Consider the following 14282-nt stretch of genomic DNA (forward strand, 5'->3'; position numbering starts at 1 on the left):
AAGGTATACAATGTTCATGGTTAACTTCACCAGTGAGCTTTGTAAAATGTTATCCCCCTATCCCTTTTCCATATCTCCCAATTCTGATCATGTTGCCATTACAGGGGCCAGTGTCATTCAAAGATGTGGCTGTGGATTTCACCCAGGAGGAGTGGTGGCAACTGGACCCTGATGAGAAGATAACATACGGGGATGTGATGTTGGAGAACTACAGCCATCTAGTTTCCCTGGGTGAGGATAGCTTGCTTTCTGAATGCTCTCAGTTGAATGGGGTTTTATGCTTGAGTTTGAAGAAATAAGTGACAACACCATTTAATTCCTTGTGGGCACTAGCTGCAGTGTTTATATTATTCTTCATTGAAAGGTTCTAACTTTGATAAGGTAAAAAATGGAGCATTTCTGTTATGCAGCTTATGAGGTGGCAACATCTTGTACTTCGGAGATCTGAAGCCGAGCAACTTGCCCAAGTCCTTCTTCTTTTCCCATTAACAAGATATGATATCACCAAGCCAAACGTCATCATTAAGTTGGAGCAGGGAGAGGAGCTGTGGATAACGGGAGGTGAATTTCCATGTCAACATAGTCCAGGTAAGTTAGTAGAGTATCAAATGTTAAAAAATGCTCATCCCAGACCTTTGGGAGTGACTAAAGAGTTGTTTATATGTATTCGGTACCCTCAGTAACACCTCCCAACCCCCAAATATCACTTTCCTTCCTGCACACATACATGAACTCTTTTGTTTATTTTATATTTGATTTACATTGGTAGGGATTTTTTCATTCTAACCTATACTGGGGACCCATTCACTTCCTCTTCCTCCAGCATTATCGGTCACTTATTTACTCCCTCACCATTAGAGAATTGTTGTGGGCTGTTTGTTTGTTTTTTTGTTTGGTTTTTGGAGACGGAGTCTTGTTCTGTCACCCAGGCTGGTGTGCACTGGTATGATCTCAGCTCACTGCAACCATCACCTCCCAGGTTCAAGCGATTCTCCTTCCTCAGCCTCCTGAGTAGCTGGGATTTCAGGCACATGCCACCAAGCCTGGCTAATTTTTGTATTTTTAGTAGAGACAGGGTTTCACCATGTTGGCCATGCTGGTCTTGAACTCCTGGTCTCAAGTGATCCGCCCACCTCAGCTTCCCCAAGTGCTGAGATTACAGTCCTGAGCCACTGCTCCCAGCCTTACAGAATTGTTTCATTCTGGGGCATTCAGAAGTCTGACATAAAAATTAACTTGAGACTTTTATGTTCATTCTTTTTATCTTCCAGTTTCTTTCCTTCCTTGCTTTAAAAATACCTTGGACTTATTTTCTGCCCTCGATTTTATTTATTTCTTTAGGCATTCAGATACCAAAACCTTGTCCTCCACCTGTGCTTGTGAATTGAGTCACAGCTTGTGGTGTACGTTATTTCCCCAAGTCCATGCTCAGTTGATGTGATGATGTAGCGCTCCCTCAGCTTTCCCCTCTTTCCCCAATGCTCATTTATGACCTGTCTGTGTGTTCATTTCCCCTTCCCCATAACTGGAATCATGCTCTGTCCATAGTAGACATTCAGGAAGTGTGAATTTCATAAGTGAATGTCGGTTCCTTTTCTTGCCTTTTCAGGAGTGTCCTCTTAGAACCCATTTTCCACTTTTTTGGTTTTCTTTGTATCCCGTAAAAGAGTTTATCTAATCTCAACTTCTAAGACCTTTTTTCTTGTGTATTTTTGCAGCTTGCCTCCAAATTGATATGTCTGACACTTTTAACCTAGTTGAATATTTTACTTGACAATATAGCAGTACCAGTGAGATAGTTCACTTCCTTCTTTCTCAGAATGTCTGATGATAAACTGTGCATGTTCCAAAATCATGAATTCTGTCTACCTTCCTCACCTCCCAGTATTTGATTGTGCTAGTCTTCTCTCCATGGTTTGTGTTCTTTGTCTTCTGTGAAATGCCTTGCAGATCGTCAGCACATTCTGTTTCTTTTGACATTAGTGTTCAGTATTCTCCCATACCTGGATTACAGTGGATCCATCTTCCATTCAAATGATCATTGTCCTTTTCCTTCATCTGCATTTCACTTGCCGAGATAATACATATTTTCCCTTCCTTTCTTCCTCTCTTCCCTCCCTCCCTTCCTCCCTCCCTCCCTTCCTTCCTTCCTTCCATTTTGAGATAGTGTCTCGCTCTTGTCGCCCAGGCTGGAGTGCAATGGCATGATCTCGGCTCACTGCAGCCTCCCCCTCCCAGGTTCAAGCGATTCTCCTGCCTCAGCCTCCCAAAGTAGCTGGGATTACAGGTGCACACCACCATGCCTGGCTAATTTTTATATTTTTAGTAGAGACGGGGTTTCACCATATTGGTCAGGCTGGTCTCTAACTCCTGACCTTGTGATCCACCTGCCTCGGCCTCTCAAAGTGCTAGGATTACAGGCCTGAGCCACTGTGCCCAGCCTACTTATTTATTGAGACAGAGTCTCACTCTGTCACTGAGGCTGGAGTGCAGTGGCACAATCTTGGCTCACGATAACCTCTGCCTCCCAGGTTCAAGTGATTCTTGTGCTCAGCCTCCCGAGTAGCTGAGATTACAGGCGTGCACCATCACGCCCGGCCTATTTTTGTATTTTTAGTAGAGACGGGGTTTCAGTCTGTTGGCCAGGAGTTCTCTGTTGAACTCTTGGCCTTGTGATCTGCCCACCTCAGCTTTCCAAAGTGCTGGGATTACAGGCGTGAGCCACTGCACCCAGCCCCCTTCATTTAATTTTAAATTGTGGTTAAAAACCACGTAACATGGCCAGGCACGGTGGCTCATGCCTGTAATCCCAGCACTTTGGGAGGCCGAGGCGGGCGGATCACGAGGTCAGGAGATCGAGACCATCCTGGCAAACACGGTGAAACCCCGTCTCTACTAAAAATACAAAAAAATTAGCCGGGCGTGGTGGCGGGCGCCTGCAGTCCCAGCTACTTGGGAGGCTGAGGCAAGAGAATGGCCTGAACCCGGGAGGCAGAGCTTGCAGTGAGCGGAGATCACACCGCTGCACTCCAGCCTGGGCGACAGAGCCAGACTCCATCTCAAAAAACAAAAACGTAACATACGATTTACCGTCTTAACCATTTTTAAGTGTACGGTAATGTTAACTGTATTTGCATTGTTGAGCAATAAACTTTAGCATTGTGCGTTGTGTGCCGGGTTTTGTCAAGCACGTGACAGCACGTAGTAGGTGTGGAGTGTGGCTCGTCAGCAAGCGCTCTGGCAGGTGGTGCTTTCGCCATCTTCATCCCTACTTACTGTGCTTCCGCTCCCTTGGGTCCCAGGATCCCACTCCTTCGATGAAACTCAGTCTTCCATCTCTGCCTGGTGCTTCTGCCCTGGTTTCTGCTCAACTCGGCGCCGTGTCTCTGTTCCCCAAAGTTCTGTTTCTGTTCTGTGCTGCCCCCTCCCCCTGCCCCCGTTTTCTCTTTTTTAAGAGACAAGGTCTCGGCCGGGCATGATGGCTCACACCTGTAATCCCAGCACTTGGGGAGGCTGAGGCGGGTGGATCACTGGAGGTCAGGAGTTCCAGACCAACCTGGCCAACAGAATGAGACTACGAAAAATACAAAAATTACCTGGGCGTGGTGACACGCGCCTGTAGTCCCAGATATTTGGAGGCTGAGGCACAAGAATTGCTTGAACCCGGGAGGCAGCAGTTGTGGTGAGGAGAGAACGCACCACTGCACTCTGGTGCAGAGCCTGGGCGACAGAGCGAGACTCTGTCTTAAAGAAATAAATAAATAAAGACTCTAGGCCAGGCATGGTGGCTCACGCCTGTAATCCCAGCACTTTGGGAGACCAAGGTGGGTGGATCACCTGAGGTCAGAAGTTCAAGACCAGCCTGGTCAACATGGTGAAACCCCGTCTCTACTAAATATACAAAAATTAGCTGGGCGTGGTGGCAGGCGCCTGTAATCCCAGCTAGTCAGGAGGCTGAGGCAGGAGAATCGCTTGAACCTGGGAGGCGGAGGTTGCAGTGAGCTGAGATCGTGCCATTGCACTCCAGCCTGGGCAACAAGAGTGAAACTTCATTAAAAAAAAAAAAAAACTCTTTCTAGAGAGAGAGAGAGATGAGAGAGAGAGGAGAGAGAGAGAGAGAGAGAGAGAGAGAGAGAGAGAGAGAGAGAGAGAGAGAGAGATCTCCGTCCCTGTCGCCCAGGCTGGGAGTGCGGAGGTGCTATCATGGCTTACTGCAGCCTCCAACTCCTGGACTCAAGAGATCCTCCACCCCACCTTCCAAGTAGCTGGCACTACAGGTGCGCACAGCTGACCATGCCTGGCTAATTTTAAAAGTTTTAGGTAAAAATGGGGTGTCCCTATGTTGCCCAGGCTGGAGTGCTGTGGTGTGATCATAGCTCATGGCAGCTTTGAACTCCTGGGCTCGAGCAACCCTCCCACCTCAGCTTCCACATAGCTGGGACTACAGGCCTGCCCACCACGCCCAGCTAATTTTTAAAAATTTTCTATAGAAGTGGAGTCTTGCTGTGTTGCTCAGGCTGGTCTCCAACTCCAGACCTCAAGCCGTCCTCCCACCTCCACCTTCCAAAGTGTTGGGATGACAGGCATGAGCCACAGCACCCGGCCTGTCTGTTCTGGACACACTTGGAGCACTTCTTGCTCTTCCACACCATCTCAATGACCAGGGTTGTCCAGATGGCTCCTAAAGGCTCCCAACAGGGCATATCATGTGAGGACTGCATTTCATCTGTTTGTAGGACAGTTGTATGTACCTTTTTCATACCTCAGACCCTGTCTAAATCTGAAGTGGTGGTATTTGCTTCCTCTCCCAGCCTTTCACCTCCTGTGCGTTCACTAAATTCACCAGTCACTAAGGCATGAAACTGACAGATTTTACTCTGAACGTCCTTTTCCTTCTGGGAGATGCCAGGTCCTAGACAGCTGTCTCCATTTTTCTGTTCTTTGCATTCTCACTGCTCTTCCCTGGCCCCTCCTTCTGTACTTTAAGTATTAGCTTGACTATTGCAGCAGTCTTCTCTTTGATATTCCTGATTGCCATCTCCTTCTGTCATCGTTCAGTCTACCCATTCTCTTGAGACTAATCTTCCTAAAGCATGGATCTAAATATATCATTTAGGCCGGGCGCAGTGGCTCACACCTGTAATCCCAGCACTGTGGGAGGTGGAGGCAGGTGGATTACCTGAGGTCAGGAGTTCGAGACCACCCTGGCCAACCCGTCTCTACTAAATATAGAAAAATTAGCCAGGCGTGGTGGTGCACGCCTGTAATCCCAGCTACTCCAGAGGCTGAGGCAGGAGAATCACTTGAACCCAGGAGGCAGAGGCTGCAGTGAGCTGAGATCGCGCCACTATACTCCAGCCTGGGTGACAGAGCAAGACTGTCTCAAAATGAATAAATCAATCAAATCTATCATTTACCTGCTCAAAAACTTTCAGTGGCTCCCAACTGTGGTCGGTTTAGATGCTTAGCTCATTAGAATGCCATCCAAGCTCTAGATCTGTGGCTTTCAAGCTGGGCTTTGAGACGCATCATGAGTTCAAAGGGGAGAGTAAGGGGAAGAAGCTGAATTGGGGATTTCTGGTTTTCTAGCCCGTTGTCAATCTTTGGGTTTTATTCCTTTTTCAGATTGTGCTTCCATTTAAAAAAATGAGTTCCAGTTTAAAAATATATATATATGCTGGACTGGGCATGGTGGCTTATGCCTGTAATCCCAGCACTTTCGGTGGTCAAGGTGGGCAGATCACTTGAGCCCAGGGGTTCGAGGTCAGCCTGGGCAACATAAGGAGACCTCATTTCTACAAAAAAATTTAAAAATTAGCCAGAAGTGGTGGCATGCACTTGTAGTCCCAGCTATTCAGGAGGCTGAGGTGGGAGGATTGCTTGAGCCCAGGAGGTCAAGGCTGCAGTGGGCTGTGATAGTGCCACTGCACTCCAGCCTGGGTGACAGGGTGAGACCCTTTCTCAAAAAAAAGAAAAAAAGTTAAATTAGCTGGGCATGGTGGCACGCACCTGTAGTCCCAGCTACTTGGGAATGTTGAGGTAAAAGAGGATTGCTTGAGCTCAGAGTTCTCAGGTTGCAGTGAGCTGTGATTGTACCACTGCACTCCAGCCTGGGCAAGAGTGATACCCTGATTCTGTAAAAAAAGAAAGAAAGAAAAGTGCTTGAAAACCATTGCAGTAAATGATCCATTCTAAACTATTTTTGGCCATGACTCCCACTGTTTACCCATCCCACGAAGTGTTCATTTCCTACTTCTATTAGAACATGTCACATTCATTCACAAAATATGTACTGATCATTAACTATTTGCCTGCCACTGTTAAGCACTGGGAATAAGACAGTGAACTGAACACGTTACCCTAATAATTATACACTTTATTGCAGGAAAAGATGGACACTAAAATATATGTGTCAAGGCCGGGCGTGGTGGCTCATGCCTGTAACCCTAGCACTTTGGGAGGCCGAGGTCAGGAGTTCGAGACCAGCCTGGGTAACATGGCGAAACCCCATCTCTACTAAAAATACAAAAATTAGCCAGAAATCGCTTGAACCTGGGAGTCTAAGGTTGCAGTGAGCCGAGATCGTGCCACTGTACTCCAGCCTGGGCAACAGAGCAAGACTCTGTCTCAAAAAATAATAATAATAAACAAAATAAAATATATGTGTCAAATGGTGACAATTACTGTGACGGGAAAAAAGTTCCTTGGGAGTGAGAAGTGATTACTTTTTATAAGGTGGTTGAGAAAGGCCTCACTGATAAGATACTTAGAGAGCTGAAGGAGGTGGAGAGAGAGCCATGCTTACCTCCAAAGGAACAGCATTCCAGAGAGGAATATGCATGGCATGTTTAGAACAGCAGAAAAAGCCAATGAGGCTGGAGTGAAGTTCAGCAAAGGCAAAGGTGGAGAGAGTTGAGATCCAAGAGGGAGCAGGGAGTCATGTCACGCCCTGGTGAGGATCATAAGGATTGTCTTTTACTCTGAATAAAATGGGAATCTTTGCAGGTTGAACAGAGGACTAATGAGATTCAACTTAGTGTTTTTAAAAAGATCTCTCTGGCCTCTCTGTTGAGAACAGTTCATAGGAGAACTCTGGTCAAAACAGGGGTCCTGGTTATAAGGCAGCACTCCAGGCAAAACAAGCCAGAGGTATGGATGAGAGAGGCAGCTGCAGATAGAAGTGGTCACATGCAGGATGTATTTTGAAAGCAGACCTGGCCAGGTGTGGTGGCTCAGGCCTGTAATTCCAGCACTTTGGGAGGCCAAGGCAGGAGGATCACTTGAGCCCAGGAGTTCAAGGCTAGCCTGGGAAACATAGCAAGACTCTGTCTCTAAAAAAATAAAAAATTAGCTGGGTTTGGTGGTGCGTGCCTGTAGTCCCAGGGACTTGGGAGGCTGAGGTGAGAGAATCGCTTTAGCCTGGGAAGTCATGGCTGCAGTGAGCTGTGATCACGCCACTGCACTCCAGCCTGGGCAACAGAGCAAGACCCTGTCTAGGAAAAAAAGAAAGAAAGTAGACCCAAAAGATTTGCAGATGCTTTGCATGCAGTGTGTAAGAGAAAGAGAGGAGTCAAGGATGACTCCAGGATTTTTGTTAGGTGAACTTTAAGAATGGAGTTGTTATTTATTGAGTTGGCAAAGACTGTGGGAGAAACCAGTTTGGTGGGAGAGTGCGAAATTGGGAATTTGGTCTTGCACGTGTCAGGTTTATTTTTTTCTTTAAAAACAATTTTTAATGTTTTGAAAATAAATAGACAGATGGAGTCTCACTAAGTTGCCCAGGCTGGTCTCAAACTCCTGGGCTCAAGCGATCCTCCCGTCTTGACCTCCCAAAGTGTTGGGATTATAGGCATGACCCACTGCACCTGGCTTTGCACATGTTTAGTTTGAGGTGTTAGTTAGATATCCAAATGGAAACATCAAGTAGGCAGTTGCATATGTTGGTTTTGAGTTTAGGGATGAGATTGAGATGAAGATAAAAATGCTGGAGTCAGTCAGGCGTGTTGGCTCACGCCTGTAATCCCAACACTTTGGGAGGCCAAGGTGGGTGGATCACCTGCGGTCGGGAGTGTGAGCCCAGCCTGGCCAACATGGCGAAATCCTGTCTCTACTAAAAATACAAAAAATTAGCCAGGTGTGGTGGTGGGCGCCTGTAATCCCAGGTACTCGGTAGGCTGAGGCAGGAGAATCACTTGAACCTGGGAGGTAGAGGTTGCAGTGAGCCGAGATTGCACCACTGCACTCCAGCCTGGGTGACAGAGTGAGACTGTCTCAAAAAAAAAAAAAAAAAAAAAATGCTGGAGTCTTCAATGTGGCAACAGAATTTGGACTTAAGAAACGGGATGAGATACCTGGGAAGGCGTTGTATAGTTTGTCTCCGACTGGCGAGGGTGAGTTCTTTGAGAGGAGAGGCTCTGTTTTATTTTGTGTTTCTGTGTTTCTTTTTCTTTTCTTTTCTTTTTTTTTTTTTTTTTTTTTTTTTTAGACAGAGTCTCTGTTGCCCAGGTTGGGGTGGAGTTGTGCCATCTCAGCTCACTGCAACTTCTGCCTCCTCAGTTCAAGCAATTCTCTGGCCTCAGCCCCTGAGTAGCTGGGGATTATAGGCACTGACCACTACACCTGGCTAATTTTTTTGTATTTTTAGTAGAGATGGGGTTTCATCATGTTGGTCAGGCTGGTCTCAAACTCCTGACCGCAGGTGTTCTGCCCACCTTGGCCTTCCAAAGTGCTGGGAGTACAGGCGTGAGCCACAGTGCCCGGCCTATTTTGTGTGTTTCTGATACCCGCAGCACATTTCCTCACACATAGGTAGGTGCTCAATGAGTGCTTATTACACTGAGCAGGGACTTTGTGATGCAAATGACTGTATCCCCAATACCTAGCACAGAGTGGTACCCAGCAAATATTTGACAAATAAATGTGTATTTGAATAAAGTGGAAAAATGTTAACTGCCATGGGAAATGTCGGAGACGGGTGTTCCAGATCATGATTTCTCTCAAGAGCATTCACCCGGTCACCATCACAGGATTTATTCTGCCTGCTTGATATTACATTTTTTTTTTTTTTTTTTTTTGAGACAGAATCTCGCTCTGTCGCCCAGGCTGGAGTGCAGTGGCGCACTCTCGGCTCACTGCAAGCTCCGCCTCCAGGGTTCACACCATTCTCCTGCCTCAGCCTCCCAAGTAGCTGGGACTACAGGCATGTGCCACCACGCCCGGCTAATTTTTTTCTATTTTTAGTAGAGATGGGGTTTCACTGTGTTAGCCAGGATGGTCTCAATCTCCTGAACTCGTGATCCACCCACCTCGGCCTCCCAAAGTGCTGGGATTACAGGCGTGAGCCACCACGCCTGGTGCTTTATATTAAATTTAAACGTACTTGAGCACCAGATTTTTATGATTTTCTCTACAGTCGTCATATGAGTGAAGGTGGTAATGTGGGACACAGCATTTTCTAAACCTGGCCAAGCAAGAGAACCATCTTTTGAGCTTTTGGCATTTTCAGAATATTAGGCATCACTCCAAAACCTACTGAATCAGAATCTCAGGGGTTGTGCCCTGTAGAATTATTTTTTAAAAGCTCACTAGGTGCTTCTGATTTAGCTCGTTTTCTGATGGCATTTGGATAATCAGTCCTAAGGCCCCAGGCCCTGCTCTGTCATTGACTGTCATTTTGAGTGAGTCATTTGATCTCTGGGTCTTTTTCCCACTTATAAAAAATGAGGGTGGGAGCTGGGTGCCTAGATTTGTTTGTAATATTTAATCTCATTTTGATGCATGCAGGGTCTGTGCTAATAGCCTCCCTTTTATTCCTGATGCTGGTCATTTGCATCCTCTCTTTTTGCTTTTTTTTTTTTCTTTGATTAGTCTGGCTAGGGATTTCTTATTTTTAATTGATCTTTTCGAAGAGCCAACATTTGGTTTAATTGATTTTTTAAATGTTTCTATTTTAACTTCACTGATTTCTACTCTTACATTTTTATTTTAATTTTTATTTTTTGAGATGGAGTCTTGCTCTGTCACCCAGGCTGGAGTGCAGTGGCGCAATCTTGGCTCACTGCAACCTCCACCTCCTGGGTTCAAGCGATTCTCTTACCTCAGCTTGGGAGTAGCTAGGATTACAGGCACATGCAATCACGCCTGGCTAATTTTTGTATTTTTAGTAGAGATGGAGTTTTACCATGTTGGCCAGGCTGGTGTTGAACTCCTGGCCTTAAGAGATCTGCCTGCCTCAGCCTCCCAAAGTGTTGGGACTAGAGGTGTGAGCCACCCCTCCCAGCCTGCTCTTATATTAATTCTATTTCCTTCTTTCTGTTTGTTTTGTGGTTATTTTGCTCTTTTTCTAGTTTCTTAAAATGGAAGCTCAGATTCTTAAGTTTTTTTTTTTTTATTATTGCTTCTTCTGTAAGCATTTAGGGCTATGAATTTACCTAAAGTTTACTTTGGCTGCATCTCACAGAATTTGGCGTTTTTTTTTTTAAGAGATGGCATCTCCCTTTATTGCCCAGGTCAGACTGCAGTGGTGTAATCATAGCTCATTGAAGCCTCAAACTCCTGAGCTCCAGGAATCCTCCCACCACAGTCTCTCAAATACTTGGGACTACAGGTATGCGCCACCATGCCCTGCTGACAGGTTTTTATATGTTTTATTTTTTTTAATTGAGGTGAAAGTCACGCACCTTTTTTTCTTTTTTTCTTTTTTTTTTTTTTGAGACAGGGTCTCACTCTGTTGCCTGTGCTGGAGTGCAGTGGTGTGATTATAGCTCTCTGCAGCCTTTAATTCCTGGGCTGAAGCAATCCTCCCACCTTATCCTGAGTAGCTAGGACTCAGGCTAATTTTTTTTTTTTTTGAGACAGAGTCTTGCTCTGTGGCCCAGGCTGGAGTGCAGTGGTGTGATCTCGGCTCACTGCAACCTCCACCTCCTGGGTTCAAGCGATTCTCCTGCCTCAGCCTCCAGAGTAGCTGGGATTACAGGCGCCCGCCACCGTGCCTGGCTAATTTTTGTCTTTTCAGTAGAGACGGAGTTTCACCATTTTGGCTAGGCTGGTTTCGAACTCCTGACCTCATGATCCACCTGCCTCGGCCTCCCAAAGTGCTGGGATTACAGGCATGAGCCACTGTGCCTGGCCCGACTCAGGCTAATTTTTTATTTTTAGTTTTTGTAGAGATGGGATCTCACTGTGTTGCCAGGCTGGTCTTGAACTCCTGGTCTCAAGCGATCCTCCTACCTCAGCCTTCCAAGGTGCTGGGATTACAGGCATGAGCCACCACACCCAGTCCATATACCATTTTAAAGCATACAATTCAGGCTGGGCACGGTGGCTCACATCTATAATCCCAGCACTTTGGGAGGCCGAGGCGAGCAGATCACCTGAGGTCAGGAGTTCAAGACCAGCCTGGCCAACATGGTGAAACCCCATCTCTACTAAAAATACAAAATTAGCCGGGCATGGTGGCGCATGCCTGTAATCCCAGCTACTTGAGAGTCTGAGGCAGGAGAATCACTTGAACCCAGTAGGCAGAGGTTTCAGTGAGCCGAGATCGCGCCATTGCACTCAAGCTTAGGCAACAAGAGTGAAACTCATGAAAAAAAAAACAAAAAACAAAAAACTGTGGACAGGATAGTTTCATCTACCTGTCTTCATGTGTTCAGTGGTTTCCATCTGCTCAAATGAATTCAAAATAGTCTGGTGAATTTTTCATTTCCATTTTTATACTTTTCTTTTTCTTTCTTTTTTTTTTTTTTTTTTTGAGATGGAGTTTCGTTCTTGTCTTGTCACCCAGGCTGGAGTGCAATGGTGCGATCTTGGCTCACTGCAACCTCTGCCTCCTGGGTTCAAGCAATACTCCTGTCTCAGCCTCCTGAGTAGCTGGGATTATAGGCACCCACCACCATGCCTGGCTAATTTTTGTATACTTTTCAGCTTCAGACTTTGATTCCTTTCAATAATTTCTATTTTTTTCCTTTTTTATTTTTTTCTATAAGCTTTAGTTTGTCTATAATACATTCTTTTCTTTTTTTTGAGACAGGGTCTCACTCTGTCACCCAGGCTGGAGTGCAGTGGTGCAATCTTGGCTCACTGCAGGCTTGACTTCTCACACTCAGGCAATTCTCCCACCTCAGCCTCCCAAGTAGCTGGGACTACAGGCGCATTCTACCACACTTGGCTAATTGTTTGTATTTTTTGTAGAGAGGGGGTTTCACCATGTTGCTGAGGCTGGTCTTGAAATCCTGGCCTCAGGTGATCTGCCTGCCTCAACCTCCCAAAGTGCTGGAATTACAGGCATGAGCCACTGCCCCTCACCTGTCTATGATATTTTCTATTTCTGTATCGATGTTCTGCATTTTGTTGAGACATTGTTCTCCTTGTATCCTTTAACTCTTTATTCATCGTTTCTTTTAGCTTTTTGAGCAGATTTCAGACAGCTGATTTAAAGTCTTTGTCTAGTACTTTCAATGTCTGTGCTTCCTTAAAGACAATTTGTTTCTTTTGTGAATGGGCTGTACTCTCTTATGTCACTGCATGGTTTGTAATTTTTTTTTGAAAATTGGAGTCAGGCACAGTGATTCACATCTATAATACCTTTTCCCCCCAAAAAGAAAAAAGTAAAATTAAAAAGAAAAAAAGAGGCCAGGCATAGTGCCTCACGCCTGTAATCTCAGCACTTTGGGAGGCCAAGGTGGGCAGATTGCCTGAGGTCTGGAGTTCAAGACCAGTCTGGCCAACATGGTGAAACCCCATCTCTACTAAAAATCCCAAAACTTAGCCGGACATGGTGGTATGCGCCTATAATCCCAGCTATTTGGGAGGTTAAGGAAGAGGAACTGCTTGAACCAGGGAGGTAGAGGTTGCAATGAGTGGAGATCACACCACTGCACTCCAGTCTGGACGACAGAGCGAAGACTCCGTCTCAAAAAAGAAAATCAGATATTTTGAGTATTATAATGGGGTAACTGGAAATTATTTTATCCTCCCCACCATCCCTGGGTTTGCTTTTGCTGTGGGCTGTAGCTGTTTGTTCAGTGACTTTCTAAACCATTTTTGCAAAGTTTGTCTTCTTTTACATGTGCAATCTCTGAAAGTCTCTCTGCCATTAGCTTGTGTTCAACTAGTGTTTTAACAGAGATTTCCTTGAATGCCAGGAGCCAAAAACGAGAAAAAAAAAGAAAAACCCAGCTCTTTCCCTCTTTGTGGATTGCCACTGTGCTGGGGCACTGGAGCAGTCCTTCAGGGCTTAGCCAGTCTGTGTACAACTTTTTATTTATTTATTTTTTAAGATAGAGTCTTGCCCTGTCACCTAGGCTTGAGTGCAGTGGCACGATCTCGGCTCACTGCAGCCTCTGCCTCCCAGGTTCAAGTGATTCTCTGCCTGAGCATCCTGAGTAGCAGGGATTACAGGCTTGTGCCGCCACACCTGGCTAATTTTCCACCACACCTGGCTAATTTTTGTATTTTTTAGTAGAGACGGGGGTTTCACCATGTTGGCCAGGCTGGTCTCGAACTCCTGGCCTCAAGTGATCTGCCCGCCTCGGCTTCCCAAAGTGCTAGGATTACAGGCATGAGCCACTGCACCCGGCCCAGTCTGTGTACAGCTTTGCCCTAGGCTTTACTCCCTGCCTGCAGGGAGGATGGAGAGGAGCCACAGATGAAAGCTCAGCATCCTTTCTCAGGTCTATTCTGAGAATGTGCTCTGCACTCAGCATGTGCATGGCTACTGAAATTCCATAGTACACATGGGCAGGTCTGAATTTCAGTACCCGAATTTCCCATAGAAACTCTCCACAACTTCTCCCATGCTGTTAGCACGCCTCTAGTTTGCCTCAACTGTAATCTTTTGCCTAGGCATCAGTGGGGTATGCATTTGATTTACAGTGTTTTCAAGGAATACCCTCTGTGTGGCCACTTTTCTGCCCTACGTGAGTTCTGGGTTAGGTGAAACAAAGGCAGATCAGTCCTTTTGGCAGCCCTCGGGCAGCTGAGAACAGGAAAACACAATGCTTTGAGAATAAGGTCTGCTCTGTTGCCTTCAATACCAGAAACCACGCTGGGAATGTGGGCTGCCATCTTCAAGGCTCCCACTGAACTATGGAAGGTTGTGGGGCAAGGGCAAGTAAAAAAACCCAGTTTTCCTACCATTTTGAAGTTGCTTTTTTCTTGATTCAGTGTTCATTTGGAGTATTAGTCAGTTTTCACACTGCTGGAAAGAATTGCCTGAGCCTGGGTAATTTATAAAGAAAGGAGGTTTAATTGATTCACAGTTCCACTTGGCTGGGGAGGTC

At 46.0% G+C, this 14282-nt stretch overlaps 1 protein-coding gene across 20 annotated transcripts in view; it reads left to right on the top strand.

Annotated features, from left to right (window-relative positions):
• POM121 (POM121 transmembrane nucleoporin) overlaps window positions 1-14282 on the top strand; it is a 72103-nt gene that overhangs the window by 11166 nt on the left and 46655 nt on the right. For 17 of the 20 annotated variants that reach the window (NM_001257190.3, NM_001387688.1, NM_001367610.1 and 14 more), the window contains 2 exons: window positions 105-231; window positions 411-588. The gene's annotated coding sequence lies outside the window, so the exon portion shown is untranslated. Of the gene's footprint in view, window positions 1-104; window positions 232-410; window positions 589-10508; window positions 10607-14282 lie in introns of all 20 variants that reach the window. The other 3 variants (NM_001387698.1, NM_001387700.1, NM_001387699.1) reach the window with 2 other exon arrangements.

This window comes from Homo sapiens, chromosome 7 (genome assembly GCF_000001405.40).
Source record: "Homo sapiens chromosome 7, GRCh38.p14 Primary Assembly".
NCBI lineage: Eukaryota > Metazoa > Chordata > Mammalia > Primates > Hominidae > Homo > Homo sapiens.